Consider the following 24,896-nt stretch of genomic DNA (forward strand, 5'->3'; position numbering starts at 1 on the left):
AAGCTACGATTAAAAGTTATAGATGTCAAACTTTAAAGTGTGTGAAGAGATGCATAGCATTTCAGCATTTTAGGGGTTGTAGGTAAGGAAAAGTTTGAAGGCTGTTGCTTTCTTTTTTTTTTTTTTTTTTTTGAGACGGAGTCTCGCTCTGTCACCCAGACTGGAGTGTAGTGGTGCAATCTGCCCACTGCAACCTCCGCCTCCTTGGTTCATGCGATTCTTCTGCCTCAGCCTCCCGAGTAGCTGGGATTACAGGCATCTGCCACCATGCCCGGCTAATTTTTTAATTTTTTTAGTAGAGACAGGGTTTCACCATGTTTCCCAGGCTTGTTTCAAACTCCTGATCCCAGGTGATCCGCCTGCCTTGGCCTCCCAAAGTGTTGGGAGTGCAGGTGTGAGCCACCGTGCCCAGCCGAAGGCTGTTGCTTTCTATCACCCTCTTACTAACATTCCTGTTCACAACGTAATACTTACATTTTCCCAATCCTTTACAACCTGGAACAACAGAAATGGTAGACATAATTGTCCCTACAATTTCAGAGGATTCCTAGTCTGAAATTCTTTGTACTGCACTATGCTGCCCTTCTACTCTGAACTGGGTAGTAGTTACAGGATCATAGTACAGTACAAGGACTTAAATTGGAGAAACCAGAAATAAATCAGCCCCCAGACCTCCTGGATGAACTATTTAAAGAATATGCAGTTACATTTCGGAGGCCCCAATTTGACTCATGGTGTACTCAGCAACACATAATTAGAAGCTGCATTCTAACAGACTTCTGCTGTAATGCTTGCTTCTGAACGTAATGCTTGCTACCATGATGTCATCTTCTGAATACAGGGGAAAGCCACGGCAGAATTTATGGCAACACATTGAAACTAACCAACCTTCATATGCACCTTGCTCTGCTCTGGAGAGAGACTTTCTCGAATACCAGGTGAGGTTCTGGTGGAGTTTCTCCAAGTGTTGAAACTTTCTTCTTAAGGAAGGTAGAAAAATGGATGGAAGCAACCAAATGCCCAAAGAGCAGAGGAAGTGCTCATGGGGGCAGCTATGTGAGAGGGATTGTAGCAGTTGAGGTGGGAGAGGAATGAAGCACTGCTCTTTAAGTCACAGCTAAAAACTGAATGTTAGCCCCCAACAATTTAAGGATTGCCAGCCTCAATGTGCAAAACTATGCTTAGTCTGTGGAGTTCATAAGTAGGGATGCCTCAGTTATCCAGGATCAAAAGGGATATATGTTCACCATAAGTTATATATATATATGTACACACACACACACATATTGAGATAGTGCCTCCTCTGCCACCCAGACTGGAGTGCAATGGCACGATCATGGCTCACTGCAGCCTTGACCTCCTGAACTCAGGTGTTTCTCCTGCCTCAGCCTTCTGAATAGCTGGGACTACAAGTGCACGCCATCACATCTGGATATATATATATGTGTGTATATATATATATATATATATATATATATATATATTTTTTTTTTTTTTTTTTTTTTTTTTGAGATGGAGTCTTGCTCTGTCACCCAGGCTGAAGTGCAGTGGCATGATCTTGGCTCACTGCAACCTTTGCCTCCTGGGTTCAAGGAATTCTCCTGCCTCAGCCTCCCAAGTAGCTGGGACTACAGGTGCACACCACTAGACTCGGCTAATTTTTTGTATTTTTAGTAGAGATGGAGTTTTGCCATGTTGGCCAGTCTGGTCTCAAACTCCTGGCCTCAAGTGATCCAGCTGCCTTGGCCTCCCAAAGTGCTGAGATCATAGGCTTGAGCCACTGCGCCTGTCTTTGGCTAATTTTTTTTATTTGTTGTAGAGATGGGGTTTTGCCACATTGCCCAGGCTGGTCTCAAACTCCTGGACTCAAGCGATCAGGCTGCCTCGGCCTCCTGAAGTGCTGGGATTACATGCATAAGCCACAGCTCCTGTCCTTAAGTGATTTTTTAAAAAAATAGATAACATCTATTCAAGCACAGAACACTCACAATAAATTGTTTGGCTTTAAAACTCTTTCTTGGCCAAGCGCAGTGGCTCATGCCTGTAATTCCAGCACTTTGGGAGGCCGAGGAGGGCAGATCACCTGAGGTCAGGAGTTCAAGACCAGCCTGACCAACATGGAGAAACCCCGTCTCTACTAAAAATACAAAATCAGCTGGGCGTGGTGGCGCATGCCTGTAATCCCAGCTACTCAGGAGGCTGAGGCAGGAGAATCGCTTGACCCAGGGAAGCGGAGCTTGCAGTGAGCCGAGATCGCGCCACTGCTCTCCAGTCTGGGTGACAGAGCAAGACTCTGTCTAAAAAAAAAAAAAAAAAGAAGTGGATATGATGGGAAGGAAGGAAGTATATGTGGCTATAAAAGAACAACACAGGGTTACTTGTGCTGATGGAAATGTTCTGTGTCTTGGCTCACTCAATGTCAAAATCCTGGTTGTGGCATCTCACTATGATTTACAAGAGGCTACCATTCAGGAAATGGGGGAAAGGCATGAACCACCATGCCCAGCACATACCCACTTCATAACCTTTGACACCCATGAATCTGTTCTCCATTTCTATACTTTTATCATTTCAAAATGTTCTATAAATGGAATCATACAGTATGTAACCTTTTGTTTGGCTTTTTTTGCTTGGCATGATTCTCTGAAGATTCATCCAGGTGGCTGTGTGTATCAACAGCTTGTTCCTTTTTATTGCTGAATAGTATTCCATGGTATGATGAACTAAACTTTGTCTGATATTCACCAGCAGAAAGACATCTGGGTTGATTCCAGTTTTTGGCTATTATAAGTAAAGCTGCTATAAGCATTCCTGTATAGGTTTTTGTGTGAATACCATAAGTCTTCATTTCTCTGGAATAAATGCCCAGAAGAGCAATTGCTGGGTCCTATGATAGTTGCATGTTTATTTTTATTTATTTAAATTTATATTTATTTATCTATTTTACAGATAAGATCTTGCTCTGTCACCCAGGCAGGAGTGCAGTGGTGTGATCATGGTTCACTGCAGCCTCAAACTCCTGAGCTTGAGGCTCAGGAGCAACCCTCCTCCCCCAGCCTCCTGGGTGGCTGGGACTACAGGCACATGTTGCTGCGTCTGGCAAATTTTTGTATTTTTCTTTGTAGAGACGGGGTTTTGCCATGCTGCCCAGGCTGGTCTGGAACTCCTGGACTCCGGTGATCTGCTTGCCTCAGCTTCTCAAAGTGCTGAGATTACAGGCGTGAGCCACTGCACCTGGCCTGTCACCCTTTTTCATTTTAGCCATGCTGGTATGTGTGTAGGTATATCTCATTGTGGTTTTTTCTCAATGTGGTACAGTATTTTTAATTTGTACACTTTTTCCAGGCTTTTTATTTGTAAAGTCTTATGAACATTAATTAAAAACATTTTTTATTAAGAAAAAGATACATAATGCACATGATGTAATATCTTAAGAATATAAAAGGGCATGAGAGAATCATTAAGGCTGCTCTTATCACCGCAGGGGTGAGCTCCACTGCCATCCCCCCACCAGGCCACCCCTCCTACTAGCAAAACCACGTAGCACTTTCCACCTAAAACAAAGGCACTGATCACAGTTCAACCACATCTTACTCCAAGATCATCCCCAGGAATGATGAAGATTGTCTTGAGCACATGTAACCTGTGGGAATGCTAGTTAACTTTTCAGCAATCCCATGTATGAGCATAGGAATGAACTGGATAAAACCATGCACTTGGCTGGTGTGGTGGCTCACGCCTGTAATCCCAGCACTTTGAGAGGCCAAGGCAGGCGGATCACGAGGTCAGGAGTTCAAGACCAGCCTGACCAACATGGTGAAACCCCGTCTTTACTAAAAATACAAAAATTAGCCTGGTGTGGTGGCGCACGCCTGTAGTCCCAGCTATTCAGGAAGCTGAGGCAGGAAAATCGTTTGAACCCAGGAGGCATAGGTTGCAGTGAGCTGAGATCACGCCATTGTACTCCAGCCTGGGTGACACAGTGAGACTCCGTCTCAAAAAAACAAAACAAAACAAAACAAAACCCATGCACTCCTCCACACCCTCTCACCCACTTCTCCAGTGGTTCTTCCATTCTCCTGAGATTTCTGATATGCTGAGGGCTAGGAAACCATACTCCCAGGGTTTCTGAAATTAGATATGCAATTGGAATCAATAATCAAACCTAAGAAAGGCTCCCAGAACTTTGGCTAGCAACTCAGAGGCCCTTCTCTTCTCACCTTATGAGTTCAGAGTTCTGTTCCAGAAACTGAAGTTGCCAGAAAGGTGACCATGTTCCTATATCTTCTTAGGGAGCTGGAACTATGACAACTTCAGACACTGAAGGGTGCATTTGGTCATTCAGGCAATTAAAACACCCACAGCATCATTAAGTATTAGGTGTAAGGATAAATTTAGTTTGTGATAGTTTAATTGCTAAATGAAGGAGTTAAACTGGACTGGCCTTAATTCTCCAGTCTGGTGCTACACTTAATTTTAATGTAGTTTGAAGGACATGTGGAGTCATCATACAAATTATGATGAAATTTGAAAGAAGATTCCTGAGCAACTTACCTATCTCCAGTGACTCATGCTGATTCACTAGGACTCAGAGTTCAAGCTGCTAACTACGTTTTGCATCTCTTTTCCAGTAGCAGGAGTTTTAATGTGAATGGACACAAAACTGGCCAAAATTTTTTGAAAAATATATCCACAGACTGGCATTTTCTTTCTTTCTTTTTTTGAGAGAGGGCCTCTCTATGGTCCTCCAGGCTAGGCGGGAGTGCAGTAGCACAGTCATCACTTACTGTAGCCTCAACCTCCTGAGCTCAAATGATCCTCCTACCTCAGCCTCCCAGGTAGCTAGGACTACATGCTCATGGTGCCATGCCTGGCACCATGTATTTTTAGTAGAGACAGAGTTTTACTATGTTGCCCAGGCTGATCTCGAACTCTTGGGATCAAGCAATTGCTTACCTTGGCCTCCCAAAGTGTTGGGGTTACAGGTGTGGGCCAGCATGCCCAGACATGGCAAGTATTTTCAAGTATTTTTTGAGGATGAAGTTAGTTCTGTGTTGTTTTTATTTATTTTTATTTTTATTTATTTTTATTTATTTATTTTCTTGTTTTGAGACAGAGTCTTGCTCTGTCGCCCAGACTGGAGTGCAGTAGCATGATCTGGGCTCACTGCAAACTTCACCTCCTGGGTTCAAGCAATTATCTGCCTCAGCCTCCTGAGTAGCTGGGATTAGAGGTGCCTGCCACCACACCTGGCTAATTTTTTGTATTTTTAGTAGAGATGGGGTTTCACCATCTTAGCCAGGCTGGTCTTGAACTCCTGACCTCATGATCTACCAACCTCAGCCTGAGCCACTGCGCCTGGCCAGTTCTATATTGTTTTTAAATCACAAAACATCTGTGAGATAGCTGAAGTACTTTCATGGTAAGAACTATTTATTTGTAAAACTTTTTTTTCTTGAATCATAAAATAATACATGCATATTAAAGAAAACTTAGAAAACCCAGAAAAACAGAAGATTTTAAAAATCACCTATAAGTCCACCACTAGGGTAATTACTGTTATCGTTTTTAGGTATATTCTTGCAAAACTGAATATTTAGTATTAAACACACACATACACAGACACACACACACACACACACATTGATTATCTCTGGTAAGAATAACAGTGTGTTTGAGAACATGGGTAGAAGAAATACTGCTTTTCAATGTTGTTATTTTGTACTTTTTTTTTTTTTTTTTGAGATGGAGTCTCGCCCTGTCACCCAGGCTGGAGTGCAATGGCGCCATCTCGGCTCAATGCAACCTCTGCCTTCCAGGTTCAAGCGATTCTCCTGCCTCAGCCTCCCAAGTAGCTGGGATTACAGGCGCCTGCCACCACGCCTGGCTAATTTTTTGTATCTTTAATAGAGATGAGATTTCACCATGTTGGCCAGGCTGGTCTCGAACTCCTGACCTCGTGATCCGCCCACCTTGGCCTCCCAATCTGCTGGGATTACAGGCGTGAGCCACCACGCCCAGCCCATTATTTTGTACTTTTAAAAAATAATTGGTAACTCCTTTGTATGTGAGAACACAAGAATTTAGAAGTCAAGCAGGGAAGCATCGACTTCATTCTTTTCTACTGTGTGATTCTGAGATGCTATTGTTCTCCTTAAAACCTAAATTTTCCATCTGTAAAGTGAGATGAAAAATCTCTAATTCCCTGAGAGTGGGGGAAAAGGAATATTTAATTCTTTTGAACTTTGTACTGTGTATATATATTGCCTATTAACAAAATAATAAAAGGACATAAGTCTACGTGTCCAAATATCCTTTTTGCTTTTCTTTGTTTTCTATGGTTTATAATAATCAGCTTGTATTGGGAATCACTGATGTAAAAGTCAACCCACTTCACTGACTACCATAGGCATCTCTTGGAATAAACTGGCTAGAGTTTATTCTTGCTAATAACTTTGACTATATTCACCCACAAGTATTTACTAAGAGTAGCCCCTGTGTGGCCTCAGTACTGAAGTAGTGAATTATTTAACTAGTCTATAGTGAATTATTTAACTAGTCTAAGCAAAAATAAAGTCAAACAGTGCTAAAACATGGTCATAGATCCAAAGTTAAGTACCTATTCATTCTCTCACTCTGAACTGGGAAGTCCCAGTTCTTCCCTCTAATTGCAGGGCATCACTGAGGATGCAGAATTCCGAGTGGTGCACTACACTTATTCAAACTGATGGGAAAACAATGCCATCAGCATGAATCAATAGGAATGGTGCTCTTGGCCAGGAGACTGTTATTTCTGGGGACGGCACGCACACTCATTTCTGAGGCTGAGAAATGACACTATTAGTGTTAGACTTAGCAGTACAACAATGCTTTCCAAACTTTTTTACTAGGAAATAACTTTAGCACCAGTAAGTATGTATGTATATGTGTGTATGTATATATATTTATATGTATATCTCCTGTTTATATTTTACAAGTCTGATTTTATAAACTTCCAGATGTTCCACCAGAGTTTTCTCTTTTTTGATTTTACCTTATTACTGTCCTTTACTGCTGTTCCTCTTACTCTATAAACAGAAATTTCCTAAGCTTCTTCCACTCCCCATTTTCCTACTCTCAAGGCTCTGAGAATTTGAGCTAAGAGACAACCTTAAGTATTGGGCAAAGGTCACTGAACTACCATTCAGAACCCAGGGATTCAGATCATGACTGGCTGTGTGATTCTGAGATGCTATTGCTCTCTTAAAACCTAAATTCTTCCATCTGTAAAATGAGATGAAAAATCTCTAATTCCCTGAGAGTGGGGGAAAAAGAATAGTTAATAATTTATCATGAAGTGTTAGCTCTTTGGGATAAAAGTTTCAAATGAAATACGAGGATTTAAATCCAAAGGTATGACACTGATTTTTCAAATTTAGCATTGTCAGCACTTAACCATGTTTCCTAAAAGCATGAATTCACTCAATCCCAAATGCCATGGTATGAGACAGTTATCTGTCATCACCACCTTCCCCATTTTATAGAAGCACAGAGAAGTCACTGGTCCCTGGCTATTCAGCTAATTAGTGACAGAGTCAGGAGTCAAAACTAGGTAGCTGGGTGCCAGAGTCTAGTTACTAGGCAGCCAGTAACTACGAAATCACAGCCAGTTAACTTCCAACTGTGTCCCTTCCTTGCTCAAAAGCCTTCAGTGGCTCTTGAAGCCTAATAATAAGTACAGACTCCTTAGCTTAGCAATAAAGACACTCCAGCTACCTTTCTTTCCTGTTTCATTCCCCATGAAAATCCTTCCTATGTCCTCCCGTGCTCCAGCTCAACTGTACCAGCCACACTTCCCTGAATAGATCCCATGTGGTCCTGCTCTGTGCTTTGCCTCTGATCATCTCTGTATCTGGAATCCACCTATTCTCACCTCCTCTTCACTTTTCTACATTTTAACCTTTCTTTCAAGGTCCTTGCAAGGGGCCATGTCCTTCATGCATTTTCCCCTGCCCTTCTCAACCACAGCTGGTTGATAATCTTCCCGGGGAATTTTATCTCTGCTCTCCTCTGCATGTATCAGTTTCTGTACATACTATGTTCCCTCCTTAGTAAGAGATGAGCTCCTCGAAGGCTGCAATATTATTTTCTTCCTCATGGAACTTTTAAATTTTATTAAAAATTTAAGCCATTCCTGTTCTTTTTTTAAAAAAAAAACCAAATGCATGCATGCTTGTTGCAAAAAAAGAACCCTCACAGAATACATCTCTTAGAAAGTGAAATCCACCATTATCACCCCTCTACCCCTGCCCTAAGAGAACTGTGGTTAACAGTTTGGAATGTATTCTTATAGAGCTTTTTCATGCAAAAAATTATTTACAGAAATGGAATTATACTACATGTAAAGCTCTGTACTTTTTTCACTTAAAATGTATAGTATTTTTCATATAGATATCTACCTCATTCTTTTTTTTTTTTTTTTTTTTTTTGAGACAGCGTCTGGTTCTGTTGCCCAGGCTGGAGTGTAGTGATGGAATCATAGTTCACTGCAACCTTGAACTCCTGGGCTCAAGTGATCCTCTTGCCTCAGCCTCCTGAGTAGCTGGGGCTACAGGTGTGCACCACCATGTCCAGCTAATTTTTAAAAATCGTTCCCAGAGACAGATCTCGCCATGTTGACCATGTTAGTCTGGAACTCCTGGGCTCAAGTGATTCTCCTGCTTTGACCTTTCAAACTGCTGGAATTATAGGCATGAGCCACCCCACCCAGCCCTCATTCTTTTCTAAGTGCAGCATAGCATAAGATTGTAGTGATGCACCTGTTCAATCCCTTCTTGATGCGCATGAAAGTGATTTCCAATTTTTACCATTATGACCAATGCTGCAGTGAATATAAATACATATGTGTGTGCATGTATTGCTATCTATATATCCATATAACTTTCTTTGGATAGGCAATTGCTAGGTGAAATGGAATGGAGATTCTAAATGATGATAAATATAGGAAGTGTCAGCGGTGGGAAGGAAGAGTCTTGTTTTATGCTTTTCTGCATCCTTCACAAGGCCTAACATTGCATCTACCAGTGTAGCTTGGTAGGTAAAAGACCAGGCTCTGGCCTCTGGCTGTCCAGGTTTGTATCAGGGCTTTATCTGTATGCCTTAGCCATCTCATCACCATAAAATAATGGCAGGGTCATTGTCATTATAAAGCTTAAATGAGATAATACATGCATAACAATTAGCAATTAGTAAGTACCTGGAAAACAAGTAAATGCAAGACATACAGAAGGAAAAATGGTAATGGGTTCAGATAATTGTTTGTTGAATGAATTGGACTGAATAAAACAATGGCAGTTTGAGCAATCATTCTAGAAATGGATGGTACAGAACTATTCATACTTTGCTATCAAAACCCATAGCAACTATTTATAAAATGACTGGCTAACATTAGAGGTGCAGTGTATAGCCCTGGAGCAATCCATCTCTGTGCAAAATGAACTGGCCTGAGCCAGAATCAAACCAATGACCTTGGCCTCTTTGGCCCCACACTTTCCCTAATAGAACTAACTGGCCCCAGCTGCAGCCTTATGTAATGGGTATCTATGAGGACAGAACAATAGTTCCCTGCAGGGTACACTGGCTCACCACTGGAGGTTGTTAGGTTATCTAGCTAACCAGCCATTAACATTGAAAATGAATAGAAAGTACATAAATAAATGCTTAGAGTAGTGCATAAGGTTTTCTGTTGAGATTCTTAGGTTCTAGGCCAGAAGTTTTCATCTTGGTGGCAAGGTTTCTATACCAATACTAGAAGATTCTAAGGTAGTCAACTCTGGGTTCTAGAACCAACTCTGCCACTAACTATTATAGCTTCAAAACCTTGAGCAAATTGTTGAGCTTTATTTTACCTTGGTACAACAAGGGGGCTGAAATAGCTCACATGAAACGTCCTTTTTTGACATTCCTTTCCCCACAGGTACAGTCACATTCTCAGACATCAGGGCTGTTTATTGCACTGAACAAAATTAAAGTATAAAATTAGGCAACAGCAATACTGTACTTTCAAAATGTGTCAATGAAGTGATGGCAAAAGTAAACATAAGAAGCTAGACACAGCCAGGTGCGGTGGCTCACGCCTGTAATCCCAGCACTTTGGGAGGCGGAGGCGGATGGATCACTTGAGGTCAGGAGTTCGATACCAGCCTGGCCAACGTGGTGAGACTCTGTCTCTACTAAAAATACAAAAATTAGCCGGGTGTGGTGGCGCAGGCCTGTAATCCTAGCTACTCGGGAGGCTGAGGCAGGAGAATCGCTTGAACCTGGGAGGCGGAGGTTGCAGTGAGCCAAGATCATGCTGCTGCACTCTAGCTTGGGCAATAGAGTGAGACTCTGTCTCAAAAAAAAAAAAAAAAAAAAAAGCAGCAACAGCAGCTAGACACAGAAGGCCACATATATATGATTCCACTTATATGAAGTATCAAAAATAGGCAAATCTGTAGACTGGATGGAAAGCAAGTTAGTGGTGACCAGGGGCTGGGAGAAGAGAAGAATGGGAGGTGACTGCTTAATAGGTATGGCGTCAACTTTAGAAGCCATGAAAATCGGTTGGAACTAGACAGTGGTGAGAGTTGTACAACATTGTGAATTTACCGAATGCCACTACATATACACTTTAAAATGGTAAAATTTATGTCATGTATACTTTATCACAATAAAAAAGTGTCCCCCCAAAAAGAGAGAAAGGGATGGCAAAACATAGCAGGGCACAGACTCACTTGACGCCTGCTTCAAGGTGACATGAGAGGAGGGTGGGGGTGGGGGTCCCTCTGAGGAAGCCCTGGGAGATCCAGGAATAAGAGAGTGGACATTAGTGCAGGATTTGTCATCTAACTGGGGCCAGGTCCTGGCCAGGGACAAGTGTAGCAGTAAATGGGGCTCCAGTGAAGTATGAGCATCTCCCCGAGTGCACTGATGATGACCTTCCCTCAGCCCAACATGTTCCTGGCCTCCTCCCACTGGTGTCAAACTGTATCCATCTAAGTCCCATTTCAAAGCCCACTCCCTTCTTGAGCTCCCCCACCGTCCCCCCCCACCCCCCATCCCCCATTCAGAGACACATTTCCCTCTTTTTTATTTATTTTTTTTCTGAGACAGGTTCTCACTCTGTCACTCAGGTTGGAATGCAGTGGCATGATAATGGCTCACTGCAGCCTCAAAATCCTGGGTTCAAGTGACCCTCCCATTTCAACCTTTAGAGTAGCTGGGACCACAGGTGCATACCTGGCTAATTTAATATTTTTTATTTTTTGTAGAGATGAAGTTTCCCTAGTTGTCCAGGCTGGTCTTGAACTCCTGGACTCAAGGGATCCTCCTGCCTTGGTTTTCCAAAGTGCTGGGATTACAGGTCGTGAGCCACTGCCCCTGGCTATATCTTGTCCTTCTAAAAGTTGACAGCACTTACTCTCTGTGCCATTCCCAGGGCACAAGCCTGCTTCAGCCTTCTAGAGACACCTGTATTCTCTTGCCACCCAAGGCCTTCTGCTTCTCTTTGCCTCCCAGCATCCAAAACAGTAGTGCTCAGGAAATACTTGTGGCTCTGTGATGGAGTGACTCAGGCAGCCCCACGGGGAGTAGAGTTTTATGAGTTTAATATGAACCATACCCTGAAATCTGAGAAATTTACCTCATTGCTCATGCTGGAAACCCTCAGTTCCAGTCGGATTTGCTTGGAGCTGGATGGAATTGTGTTGCTTTTCATACTGAAAATGATCATCTAATTTTTAAATTTAAAAAACATTTACGTAGCACCTACTTCACGTTCGACAGGAATCTCAACACTTCACAAATGTTAACTCACTGACTTTTCCTAACAGAGGCATTGAGAAGTTAAGTAACTTGCCCAGGGGTCAAAGCCAGTAAACGGCAGAGCTGGGCTTCAAATCCAGGTTCCTTGCTTCCAGAGGAGATGCTCTTCAGTTTGTTCTGGTGCCTGAAACTTACAGATGAGTGGCAAAACCCTCCATGAACGGGGAAAAAAAAGACATTGATGTATTTATTTCAAGGGAAATGTGTGTGTGTGTGTGTGTGTGTGTGTGTGTGTGTGTGTGTGTGTGTGTTTTGCCCATCGTCCCCCTTTTCTTCCTCATTGAAAGCAAAATGCTCTAAAGCAAACAGTCTTTTTTCACACCTGAGACACCGGCGGTGTTCATTTTTGCTTTGGCAATCAAAATGGAAGAGGAAACTTGTGTGGTTTCATCACTGGTGCTTTCGGGGTGTGTGGGGCGGGCTGTCCTTCTCCCTCGGTCCTGGCTCATCGGCCCGAGCCCCCCTCCCCAGGCCTTGTGGCCTCCGGTCGGTCGTGGAGACATAAGAGGCCGCCTTTCCTCTGTTAACACCGGGAATGTGCCCCAGCCTCTCCCTCCTTCCTGCAAATCCAGTCCTTGTCCTGGAGAACCTCAGCGTCTTCTTATGCCTGCCTCTTTCAAAGCCTCGTAGGATTTACACCTGATTAACAACGTTTGCATTAGGATCGCCAGACACCGGCGCACGGCCCCGCAGGCCCGCGCGAATCTTCTACATTTTCATGTTTCGGATGTTGTCCACCTGACTTGATGCATATTCAAATGTCTCTCTCCCGACGTGGGAGGCCGGAGTCAGAACCTGACAGACCTGCCGTTTACTAACTGGGTACCCAGGGCAAATTACTTCACAAGTCTGAGTCTCGGTTTCCTCACCGTGAACCGGACTGGTACCCATAGGTTGCGGCGTGGATCAAATGAGATAGCGCAGGGGCGGGACCCGCGCACAGCAGCTCTCTTAGTTCCTCTTGGCGAGGTTTACGTAGTAACACATGCTTGTCTGTTTCCCATTTTTTCCCAGAGCACCCTCATGCTCTGGGGGCAGGAAGGGAGTCTTCGCATCACACCGAAAAAGTCCCAACGGGCACGGTGTAGGCGCCTGTGGTCCCAGCTACTCGGGAGGCTGGGGCAGAAGGATCGCTGGACCCAGGAGGTCGAGGCTGCAGTGAGCTATGACTGCGCCACCGCACTCCAGCCTGGGCGACAGAGCCAGACCCTGTCTTGATTAAAAAATAAAATAAAATAAAGAAATTAAAGTCCTTATAACCCTGGTTAGAGCGTTCCCGCCCACTGGTCTCTTAGGGCACATTTAGGACAACCTGAAGAAGCCACTCTTCTTGGGACCCTAACCCTTACCCCAACTCCTCGGTCCCCAAAGGCTAAGGGCTCGGGATCCGAAGGAGGCCCAGCTGAGGTCGCTGGGTGGGGCTCTGGGAGGAGGAAATGGGGTTCTTGAGGGAGCTCGCGCTCCAGCTCGCCTCCTCCTGCGAGGACGCCCCCTGCCCGGACACCTGCTGCCCGAGCGAGCGTCGGGGCCGGGCCTCCCCGCGGGGCAGTCTCGGCGCGCAGGTCCCACCTGCCAGGCGCGGAACGCGGGCGGCCTCGGGCGCAGCCTCCGGGCGCCCCGCCCCCGCCTCCCCCGCGCGGCCCCGGCGCCCGGCCGCACCCCCTCCCAGCCCGCGGCGCCCCGGCACCCCTCTCCCTCCCCGGCGGGCTCCGCGGAGCATTGTACTCACATCCGGGGCTGGGTTTTGCTTTAATGCGAAACGTAATTAACCCGGAAAAAAGAGCCGAGGGACGGGAGAGAAGGAGGGGGCACTGGGGGAGACCAGAGCGAGGGGAGCGAGAGGCGCGGAGAGTTTGGCAGGCAGACCCAGAAATCCCTGGAGCGCGGCGGACCCGGCGGCCGGAGGGGCGACCCCGCCCGATGTAACGCGCCCCGCCCGAGCCCCGGCCCCTGCACGGGGGGGTAAGTTGGGCGCCCTCGCGGGCTCGGGAGTGGAGAGGCGCAGAGGGGCGCGCGGGGGCTGGCGGGGCTGGGGGTGCAGGGGGCGCCCCGGCGGAGGCCTGGCGGCCTAGGGGCGCGAGGGGCGCGCGCGCAGGGCTGAATACGCCGGTCCTAGTGGCTGACAGGCGAGGGGAGGTGGCCGCAGACCCTGGAGGCCTCCTCCAACCCTCTGGGAGAGCCCCGAGGGCAGCCCCTCCTCCAAGTGCCCCGGGTGGCCAAGGTCGCCGCCGCCAGGGGTCGGGCTGCGGGGGGTGGGGCCGCGGAGAGGGTGGGGGCGGGAGTTCTGCTGAGCTGCATTTTCTCACGTTTGCAGCAGCGAAACTTCTCTGCGGGTTCTGGCGCTGGGGCACCGACCCCGCAACGACTGCCCGGGCTGCGGGAGGGGAGGAGAGCAGAGAACGTCCCCAGGCAAGTCCCTTGGGTACGGATTGGGCCATGGAGACTCCTCTTTCACTCCCCCGACTACCTTATTAAATGACAGGCCTAGAAGGCTCCCCTAGGGACTCCTGTCCTTTCCTCTGGGTGCAGCCTGGACTTCGGGCTTCTGGAACTCCAGACAGTGAAAAGGACTGCCCTAAAATGCAGGTTCGGTGCCAGGTTGGGTGAGCCCTCGAGGGGAGCTGTCGTTCTCTCTCTCACCAACTTCTTCCTCACCTTACACGCTTCCCTTTTCTCCTCCAGTCCTAAAGACGATTTCACCAAAATTTTTTTAAAAAGAAAGAGAAAAGAAGGGTGTGGGGGGGGGTGGTGGGAAGCTAGGCCGTTTAGAAGGGAAAAGTGTCCCTGCACGCCCAGAGAGGGGCGCAGGGCCCGCTGCGGCCGGAGCACCCTCACATCTCCTCCCCGGGGCCAGCCCTGCCCCCAGGCCCTAGCCTTAGGGTTTGGCTTCCTTCCTTCTTGGTGAACGCAGGTTCAGGATGTATCTTCCCCTTCTCATTCCTTCTTCCTGCCCGCCCCCTTTCTTTCTTTAGGGCTCCAAGTGGGGTTTTCAGAGGACAGTAAACGGCAGAGAAGAGGGAGGGGAGAGCACCCCACCAGAAAGCCAGCTGTGGCTCTGGGGGCTCTGAAGGCTGAGCTGTAGATGCACTTGGGGCTGAAGTCCCAAGATTGCACTAATGGTGTTCTTAATCTATCTGACCAAGTCCCATTTTCCCTTCTTTTGTCATTTTTTTTCTTTGGTTGCGAAGCCTTCCGAAACAGCAAAGCAAAAGATCTTGAAAGAATAGAAGTTTTTGCTTTCTATTTCAGTTGCATTCAGTTGACATGTATTATACATGCAAGGCAGTGATGAACAAAACACAACCCCTGTCTTTATTTTTTCTTTTTCCTTTACCTCTGGAGGGCTGGACCCTGTCTTTGGCGAGCTTACAGGACTTGTAAGCCCCCCACTTGTTTTGAGAAGCCAGAGTAAGCTTTTAGAAAGCATCATCATCATCTCAGACATTAGCCCTCTTCACCATGTGCCGCCTGAAGGCAGATGACTTTTGCACTATCAGAGGTCTAGCTTGTAGTCTAGATTATGGCCAGCCCAACGTATGACATGTACCAGGTGCTAAGTAAATGTTTATTGCATTAATGAATGAATGCAAACACATGAATTGTTTGCACTTGTCCAAATGGCAGAGAAAAGAGCAGTGTGGTTGTTCCTCAAACCTGTAGGGATTTGGTTCTCCAAGCTGGTACATGGGAGTTATTAGTCCGGATGTTGCCTTTACACCTAAGTATCCTTTGACCCTGTTTGTACATTACAGCATGCTTTCTACAAATTGTCTATGGCACTCCTAGTGGGGTTTTAGCTAGCTGGTAATGGGAGCCTTGCTCATTTCACAGATTGGTAATTACCTTGGTATTGATTGAGAAACTGCCTGCCCTTTGGTGAAGAGTTTTTGCAACCCTTTCTTTTTCCTTGTCATTGGTGCTTTCTTCTCTCTTCTGTGTTAAGGAAATAGGGCCTGCAGATCCCATCATGTCATGGTAGTGAGCTGAACCATATTCAGCTCGGTATTTTTGAGTGGTTAAAATAAATCTTGAAGACATGCAGGTTTTGGTTGGTGCAGGTTTTTGTTCTGCAGAAGTGGGAAGGGGAAGGCTGATGAGCCCTATCAGCTGAGCCCCAGAGCAGCCCTCCCACTACCTTGCCAAGTGTTTGCCGAAGTGCTAGGATACTAGGAAGACCCAAGCAGCGTTGGTCTCCTGTCCAATTCATGGGACAGATGGACAGGTGGGTGATGCCCCTGCTGAAAGGCTGGATGACTCAGATGAGAGCTTGCTGCAGACCACAGTGCATCAGAATATCTCTTCTGATTCACGGAAACTGCTGTGGCTCGACTTATTCCGGTTGTGATAGACCTAGGGCTTGGAAAAGAGGATCTGGGTGCTGGGACGTTGGGTTGCTCTGCCCCCTCTCTTTTTCCACCATGAACAGTTTGGGTTGCCTTACTTTCCGTTTTCCATCTGTCTCAGTGAGCTGGATGGGACTCCAGCAATCTAATCTGGTAGGCTTTGGAAAGGAAGGAAGGAAAGCAAATATTATAGTGTGTTGGCCTATGGGAAGAGAAGAACCCTGGCCCTGCCTGATATGAGCCCATTATTGAGATGGGGTATTGGACAGGCGGGGGAGATAGGGCAGCTGAGAGGTGGGAGGGATGCGGCCCCATCCTGTCAGTAGAGGAGGCCGGGGGTTGGTGTAGTGAGACCCTACTGTTCCTTCTGAAAGCCCCTTCCCTGCCCTGACCCCAGTTGACTGAAGTGATTTGTTATGCATTAAAGCCGGAATTGGGCTTTCTCACTGTGGAGGTCCCAGCCCTGCTGGGGCAGGGGCTCCTGATATTGCCCAGTGTGGGCAAAAGGCTTGGGGGCTTTGGCCCTGTGGTGTGCCTTTTGCCCACAGTGCCTGGTCAGCTGAGATGAAGAGGATGGGAAGCTGGGTCCTCTTGTCCTTATGCTCTTGAGAAGCACTGCAGTTAAAGTGCGAAGGCTGGGACTCAAATTTGGCTGGCCCCTTGCAAAGCAGCTCTCTGCTGGTATGATTGCCCATGGCTGGATCAAGAGGCAGCTTGCCTTGGAAACTGACGAGCATGTCTAGGTTTCTGTTAACTCTCAGGGTAGCCTGGCCAAGAAGGAGTCAGCACATTGCCTGGACTTTTTGTTTTAAACCTCCTGGAGAATTTTTAGAGATGTAAAATGTGGTGTTTCTTGGAGTAGAGGGAAGAGTGAGGGAAGCTGATGCCTTTCCTCGTGAGAGGAATCCCAGAGTCGCAGCTTTTTCATTGACATTTGCTCACTGGAGTTAGAGGGATGGAGGTGCGCATGCAGCAGCTGCCTGCCCAGTGTTAAGCAACTTTGCAGTAGTAATGATGACCATGTACTCCTTGTTAGGCACCCACACATGCAGTTTAACAACAACAATATTTACCCAATGTCTGGGTGTCCAGCACTTTTCACACATTATTTCATTTAATCCTCACAGCAGCCTTTGAAGTAGGTAAAGCAATTATCTCCATTTTGCAGATTAGGAAATAGACCCTGAAGACTTAAGCAACTTTTCTGCGTTTGAATCCAGGTCTGTCTGGCTCAAGACTCATGCTCTTTCCCTTCACTCCACTGCATGGATGGGATGGGTAACTGAAATCAGCACACCCTTTTGAATGGTCATCTTCTTGCAAAAGTTCCCTCAAAAATACTCATATTGGCTGGATGCCGTGGCTCATCTCTGTAATCCCAGGGCTTTGGGAGGCTGAGGTGGGGGGGATCACTTGAGGCTAAGAGTTTAAGACCAGCCTGGGGAACATAGCGAGACCCCATCTCTACAAAAAATTGAAAAATTAGCTAGCTGTAGTAGTGTGCGCCTGTAGTCCCAGCTACTCGGGAGGCTATAGCAGGAGGATTTTTTGAACTCAGGAGTTTGAGGTTATAGTGAGCTGTGATCGCACCACTGCACTCCAGCCTGGGCACCAGAGCGAGACCCTGCCTCTAAAAAAAAAAAATTTTTTTTAAATACTCATACTGATTATTGTCACCTGCACATCCTCCTTACCACACCCAGCCCCTCCTCCTTCCCTAAATCAAGAGACAGAAGCACATGTCTTTAGAGGAACAGAGCTAGGCCATTTACGCTCCCCCCTCACCACTCCCCTGCCCCACCCCCAGCACTTAGCAAAAGGCCAGTAGGTTGGAGAAATTATGTTTTTTGTGTTTTTGCTTTTTTTTTTTTTTTTTGAGACAGAGTCTCGCCCTGTCGCCCATGCTGGAGTGCAGTGGCGCTATCTCGGCTCACTGCAACCTCCACCTCACAGGTTCAAGCAATTTTCCTGCTTCAGCCTCCCAAGTAGCTGGGTCTACAGGCGCATGCCACCACGCCCAGCTAATTTTTTGTATTTTTAGCAGAGACAGGGTTTCACTGTGTTAGCCAGGATGGTCTCCATCTCCTGACCTCGTGATCCACCCACCTTGGACTCCCAAAGTGCTGGGATTTCAGGCGTGAGCCACTGTGCCCGGCCAGGAGAAATGGTGTTTTCTTTTCATTCTCTTAACTGCCCATGTATTAGTACCCTTTGGTTGACATCGTCCATTATAAAATGAAGATTAGAGTTCCAGGACTCGCAGCTGTTGTTAGGAAGCCCAATAGTGAAACCGAATTCATTGTGGGGAAACTTTCACAATTCTGAAAGTTGGAGATCTCAGCTTTTATAGGCTGTAAAGCCAGTATGGCTGCGTGCCTGCACTGGTGCCCTCTCTGGTGGAGATGGTCTGATGAGCCTTCAGCCCCGGGCAGGCTTTTGTTTCCTGCAGGCTCCAACAACCACATTTTCTTTGAATGTAGATGAGGCTGCTGTGAAGAGAGGTCATGAGTGTCTGAAATATTTTGTTGTTTTTGGCATCTTTATTGCAGTGGTATCAATTTCCAGTTACTCCTGCCTTACACCCCTCCCCCCATATTTTTTCAAAAATTCCTTCTTGAGTATCTCTTGCTCTCTACTCCAAGTTCTAGGGTCCAGTGGGGATTGGGCTATCTCAGGGTCAAGCCAGCACCCTGTCTGATCCGCCCCCCGCCATTCCTGTACATGTTTGCATTCCTCACCCTGCACTTCCTCTGGGAACTTGTTCTCAGTACGTTCCCTTCTCTCGCACTTTATTCTCCCGCCTTACACTATTTGGAATCTGCTATCATGACAGTTTCAAAATGCGGCCATGTTAGAGCAGTAGGAAGTGGAGGCTTCCACACTTCCTAAGTTATAATCTTTGACCCATTCTCAGGGATGTGTTCTCAAATAGCCATGCTTGCATTTTGCTGTTGTTTTTACTGGGTTTGTACATTGCGAAGGCTCTGGTTGGCTTCACAATATATCTTGATGTATGCTGCAAATCTGAACATATATGAACTCTGTTGACATGGTCCGTATGTATTCTAGCAACAGGTGAGTGACTGCTCCATATCTCTATACCTCAGTTCCTGTCTGCTGTATTTCATACAGTCCTCTTTGAGATCTCTGATGTTATTTCCCAAAAAACTTTCTCCTGTTACCCAGTTGAGCCATTTCTGGTTGGTAGAACCTCAGTCACTACTGAAGCTGCTGCCTGCAGCTTCTGCCCTGGTAGGGGTAACAGGACAGAAGATGTACGTACCACACGCCCCACTCCTTGTCAAAAAGCACCTTTTGAATATTTTCTGGAGCAAAATCCCAGAAATTCCTTGTCCTGCTAACACAGAATGTGAAAGAAACATCTCTAAATTTTAAAAATGAGTAATTTTTTTCTCATTTTTGAACTGAGGTTGTAGTAATTTTGTACTTCAGCCAATACCACTGAAGGCTTTATCTCTGTTATCACTTTCTCTTATTATTTATCTCAAAAATGCTAAAGTAGTCAGGCAGAGTCTCCCATATTTCCCTCTATTCTTTCCTCTGTCTCCAAATTATGTTAGCCATCTTCAAAATCAAGAGGGCTATTCAGAAAACCACAGCTCTCATTACTTAATACCTTTATAGCTTTTCTTTAAAATAAATCTATCTGGCTGGGCACAGTGGCTCATGCCTATAATCCCAGCACTTTGGGAGGCTGAGGCCAGAGGATCACTTGAGCCTAGGAGTTTGAGACCAGCCTGGGCAACCTACAAAAAATACAAAAATTAGCTGGGTATGGTGGTGCACGCCTGTAGTCCCAGCCACTCAGGAGGCTGAGGTGGGAGGATCGCATGAGCCCAGGAGGTGGAGGCTGCATTGAGCCATCATTGTGCCACTGTACTCCAGACTGGGAGACAGAGTGAGACCATATCTCAAAAAAAAAAAAAAATTAATCTATTCATCTTTTCACTCATCCAGCCAGCCACTTATTTTATGTATGTATGTATGTATGTATGTATGTATGTATGTATGTATGTATTTTTGAGACAGGGTTTCACTCCTGTCACCCAGGCTGGAGTGCAATGGTGTGAGACATTGGCTCAACTGCAACCTCCACCTCCTGGGCTCAAGAGATTCTCCTGCCCTAGCCTCCCCAATAGTTGTGACTATAGGTGCACACCACCTCACCTGACACTTATTTTAAAATGTCAGTCCTATCTCCCAAGTTTCAAGAAGGAAAACTCCACTGGGCGTTCCTGTCAGGGTCCCCATTTCCTTTTCCCAGAGCACTTTTCAAGGTACAGCTCATGTGTTGTAGGAATAGAGGAATAGCAGCATCGACTTGGGACTGAGTATTCTGTTGGCCCGAGGACCTGGGTGCTTCTTAAGACCAGAGAGCAAGGGACCACACCAGCAGGAGAAAGAGGGAAAGGCGCTCAGAGGATGTTGCCATACGAAGTAAGAAACCCAAACAGCTTGGAGGGTGCTAAAGCCCTCTGGGCAGGTAGATATCTGGCTCTTGGATGATTGTGAGATGTGAAACATTTATTTATTAGGTTTAGGTCTTTAAAACACCAAAAAGTTCCAAGAGAGCTATAATTTAGGGAAGGCCTTGTTTGTTTGTGGACTCTGGAGAATTGAGAAATTTATTATCAGATTCAAAACTTATACACTTGGGTGGGAATCTGTGTGGAATTAAATAGCTTTCTCTCCTGCTAAATAAAGTAACACATGCTCCCTGTAGAAGATTTGGAAAAATATGTACAAGTAAATGAAATTCCACTCATAGCCCGTAGATAATAACTTACTGTTTTGGTGACTATATATCTGGTTTTAAAACAGACCGTATATAGGAATATAAGAATAATATTTGGATGATTGAGATCATATTATGTACCATTTCATATCTTTTAAAAAACTTATGATGTGGTGAGTTTTCCCCTCATTCATTAAAAATAACCTGAAAACAGAGTTTTTGAATTATTGTGTAATATTTCCTTGTGAGTATGTCCTGTTGTTTATTTAATTATTTTCTGGGCCAGGCGCGGTGGCTCACGCCTGTAATCCCAGCACTTTGGGAGTCCAAGGTGGGTGGATCATGATGTCAGGAGATCGAGACCATCCTGGCCAACATGGTGAAACCCCATCTCTACTAAAAATACAAAAATCAGCTGGGCGTGGTGGTGCACGCCTGTAGTCCCAGCTACTCAGGAGGCTGAGGCAGGAGAATAGCTTGAACCTGGGAGGCGGAGGTTGCAGTGAGCCGAGATGGCGCCACTGCACTCCAACCTGGGCGACAGAGCGAGACTCTGTCTCAAAAAAAAAAAAAAGAATTATTTTCTAACCATTGTGTTGTTCAGGACATTACCAGTTGTTTGTTACTATAAATTCTATTGCAGTTGCCATCTTTTTACTTTAATCTTTCTTTGCATCTTTGTTGATTGACTTGGATGGAATCCTAGAAGTAGAATCACTGGGTCAAAGGGTATGAACATTTTTTGCTTTCTTGTTATATATATACAACTAAATTGCTTTCCAGAAAGGTTCATAGTCCTGTCCTGGGTGTATAAGAATCCTAGGAACATTTTTCAAGTAGACAACATCTGTTTTAAGCAGTGATCTTTCCCTTTCAGCCCCTCTATGCCTCTGTGTCCCATCTGGGCTATGTGCTATTTTCTCAGGGTCTGGGTCCCAGCTGTCTCTTGTATATTATGAGCCTTGCAAAGTTATCCATTGCCTCAGTTCCTCGGGGCAATTTTTTTCTTGGCTTGAATCTCCACTGGTGGAACCTAAGGCATGGGAATGGGCAGTAGAGAGATATTTGGGGCTGCAATACCTCCCAGTGCCCCCCATTTCATTCTCTGGCAGGCAGCCATTGACTTCCTTCTCATGAGCTGCTTCTAGTCAACTGGCAGGTGTCGGCCAGGAATCTCTCAGTTTAATTGCCATTTAACACACTTTCTGCCACTGATTAATGGGTGACTCCATGCAAACTCACTTTCTTTCCCCAAGTTTCACTTGTATCATAAATACTTATTTTCATTCGCAGTACATACTTAAGAACTTATATTCTACTTAGAAATCTGGATCATATAAAACTTCCCACTTTTTGTTTTTCTTTTCATTAAAATACTTTTTTTTTTTTTTTGAGATGGAGTCTCACTCTGTCACCCAGGCTGGAGTGCCATGGTGTGATCTCGGCTCACTGCAGCCTCCACTTCCAGGGCTCAAGTGATCCTCCTACCTCAGCCTCCTGAGTAGCTGGGACCACAGGCATGCACTACCATGCCCGGCTAATTTTTGTATTTTTGGTACAGATGAGGTTTTGCCATGTTGCCCAGGCTGGTCTCAAACTCTTGGGCTCAAGTGATCAGCCCGCCTTGGCCTCCCGAAGTGCTGGGATTACAGGCATGAGCCACCATGCCTAGCCTGAAATACAGTTTTTAGTTACTGGAATAATATGAGGCTACGTCTTGGTTTGGTTTGGTGTTTGTTTGTGAGAGACAGAGAAGAGAGGGAGAGAGAGAATGAAGGAGAGAGGGAGAGAAGGACAGGGAGGGAGACAGAAAGAGAGGAATTCTGTATGCACATACTTTTGATTTGCTTTTAATGAAGTTCAGGAAAGTAGATGAAATAGGAAACAAACATTTAAAAAACATTCAACCTCACTAGATGTCATTATGTATTTGAAACCACCAATAGTTTAAAATAATGAGAACATTCAATATATGTAAGATTATAGTGATGATAACAATATATTGCTGGTTGCAACATAGATAACATCTTTTTAGAAAACAATTTTGTAAAAGGACTCAAGAATTATGAAAGATCATAGCCTGTGATCTCATATTATTACTTGGAATTTATGCTCTTTCCATGTAAAAGAAGAAATAAAGCATGAAAATACAAATTTTAGCCTTATGTATAACAGTGAAAAATTGGATATAACCTTCAATTTAATTGTAGAGAAATGGTTATGTAAATTATAGTAAAACCAGTCCATTAATGTTATGCAACCATTAGAAACGATTATAAAGACTATGTAGCAACATGGAAAATGCTTATGACATCATCTTAAGTTTTAAAAAGGCCAATTATGTGGATAGGGACATGAAAAAGCATGCAAATGTGAAAATTGTTGGCTGGAGTGATTGTTAAAATAATTCCAGCATTGTTATATTATGATTTTTGCACTAAACCCAGAAAACACGAGGGAGGTTTGGCTAGGGAAGATAGGGTGCTGAGTGGGTTGGATAGAGGCCCCTTCTCTTACAAATACCCTGTGTGCTTTGTTAGCTGTGTGTTGTGAAGGCCAGGAAGCTACTTGCCAGATAGTTTCATTACGGTATGAGAGCAAAGGTGAAGGGACCATCTAGAGACAGGGGTATCTAGAGCTCTAACCCAGCATGAACACTTTCTTTTTTTTTTGAGAGGGAGTCTCACTCTGTCACCCAGGCTGGGGTGCAGTGGCATGATCTCGGCTCACTGCAACCTCCGCCTCCCAGGTTCAAGCAATTCTCCTGTCTTAGTCTCCCGAATAGCTGGGATTATAGGTGCGCACCACCATGCCTGGCTAATTTTTGTATTTTTAATGGAGACAGGGTTTCACCATGTTGGCCATGCTGGTTTTGAACTCCTGAACTCAAGTGATCCACCTGCTTCGGCCTCCCAAAGTGCTGGGTTTACAGGTGTGAGCCACCGTGCCAGGCCCCAGCATGAACGCTTTCCATGTTGTCCCAGGAGATGAGGGCTGGGTATTGTCAGGATGCCCACAGGCTTACCTGGGAACTCTTGAGATAAACCACCCTCGGTCACCCTCTACCCAATATTTTCACACTGGGGAACTCAGGACAAAATGAAATTTAAGGCTGGGTGTGGTGGCTCATGCCTATAATCCCAGTACTTTGGGAGGCTTGAGGCAGGAGGATTGCCTGGGTCTAAGAGTTTGAAAACAGCCTGGGCTATGTAGGGAGACCCCATCTCTACGAAGAATTAAAAAATTAGCCCTCCATGGTGGTGTGCACCTGTAGTCCCAGCTACTGGGGAGGCTAAGGCAGGAGGATGGCTTGAGCCCAGGAGTTGGAGGCTGCAGTAAGCTACGATTACACCACTGCACTCCAGCCTGGGCAACAGAGTGTGACCAGGTCTCTAAAAAATAAAAACATAAAATGAAATTTAAGGTAAGTGATTTTGGCTGGGCGTAGTGGCTCACGCCTATAATCCCAGCACTTGGGGAGGCTGAGGCTGGTGGTTCACCTGAGGTCAGGAGTTTGAGACCAGCCTGGCCAACATGGTGAAACCCCATCTCTACTAAAAATACAAAAATTAGCCGGATGTGGTGGCACACGCTGTAATCCCAGCTACTCTGGAGGCTGAGGCAGGAGAATGAATCACTTGAACCCAGTAGGTGGAGGTTGAAGTGTGCCGAGATGGCTCCACTGCACTCCAGCCTGGGCGACAAAAGCAAAACTCTGTCTCAAAAAACAAAACAAACAAACAAAAAACCAACCATGTAACTGGCAGAGTGTTGTGAGAGTTAGAAAAGACATTTTGAAGCTTTGCCTTGGTCTTGGCAGGGGATTTGGGGGTGATAGCATATATATGTACACCAAGTTGTTCCCCCATCTAAGTACCAATTACTACTGGCACTCCCCTTTCTCCCCTCACTGGCTCATTGCTAGAATAGTAGAAGCTAGGGATGAGCTGGCA

General features: G+C 45.6%; 1 protein-coding gene and 1 long non-coding RNA gene across 7 annotated transcripts in view, besides 5 other annotated features; one reads left to right on the plus strand and one right to left on the minus strand.

Moving 5' to 3' along the window:
• Window positions 1-11,610: 11,610 nt before the first annotated feature.
• Window positions 11,611-13,806, minus strand: LOC124901937 (uncharacterized). The gene is made up of 2 exons (XR_007060893.1): window positions 13,574-13,806; window positions 11,611-13,057 (listed from the first exon to the last, which is right to left on the minus strand). It is a non-coding gene; the product is annotated as an uncharacterized LOC124901937 (long non-coding RNA).
• Window positions 12,119-12,308: an enhancer, noted in NCBI's record as "active region_27265". NCBI's record gives its function as "activates an Ori minimal core promoter by ATAC-STARR-seq in GM12878 lymphoblastoid cells {active_cell/tissue: GM12878}" and the evidence as "EXISTENCE:reporter gene assay evidence [ECO:0000049][PMID:35858748]".
• Window positions 12,369-12,618: an enhancer, noted in NCBI's record as "active region_27266". NCBI's record gives its function as "activates an Ori minimal core promoter by ATAC-STARR-seq in GM12878 lymphoblastoid cells {active_cell/tissue: GM12878}" and the evidence as "EXISTENCE:reporter gene assay evidence [ECO:0000049][PMID:35858748]".
• Window positions 13,219-13,628: a silencer, noted in NCBI's record as "silent region_19137". NCBI's record gives its function as "represses an Ori minimal core promoter by ATAC-STARR-seq in GM12878 lymphoblastoid cells {active_cell/tissue: GM12878}" and the evidence as "EXISTENCE:reporter gene assay evidence [ECO:0000049][PMID:35858748]".
• The window catches only part of PLEKHA2 (pleckstrin homology domain containing A2), a 72,567-nt gene continuing 61,377 nt past the window's right edge, over window positions 13,707-24,896 (plus strand). For 3 of the 6 annotated variants that reach the window (XM_011544605.4, XM_024447227.2, NM_001410925.1), the window contains exon 1: window positions 14,125-14,253. The gene's annotated coding sequence lies outside the window, so the exon portion shown is untranslated. Of the gene's footprint in view, window positions 13,807-14,124; window positions 14,431-24,896 lie in introns of those variants that run through there. The other 3 variants (NM_021623.2, XM_047422067.1, XM_011544607.4) reach the window with 3 other exon arrangements.
• Window positions 13,709-14,378: a silencer, noted in NCBI's record as "silent region_19138". NCBI's record gives its function as "represses an Ori minimal core promoter by ATAC-STARR-seq in GM12878 lymphoblastoid cells {active_cell/tissue: GM12878}" and the evidence as "EXISTENCE:reporter gene assay evidence [ECO:0000049][PMID:35858748]".
• Window positions 17,761-18,020: an enhancer, noted in NCBI's record as "active region_27267". NCBI's record gives its function as "activates an Ori minimal core promoter by ATAC-STARR-seq in GM12878 lymphoblastoid cells {active_cell/tissue: GM12878}" and the evidence as "EXISTENCE:reporter gene assay evidence [ECO:0000049][PMID:35858748]".

The sequence above is a fragment of the Homo sapiens genome, chromosome 8, assembly GCF_000001405.40.
Source record: "Homo sapiens chromosome 8, GRCh38.p14 Primary Assembly".
Classification (NCBI taxonomy): domain Eukaryota; kingdom Metazoa; phylum Chordata; class Mammalia; order Primates; family Hominidae; genus Homo; species Homo sapiens.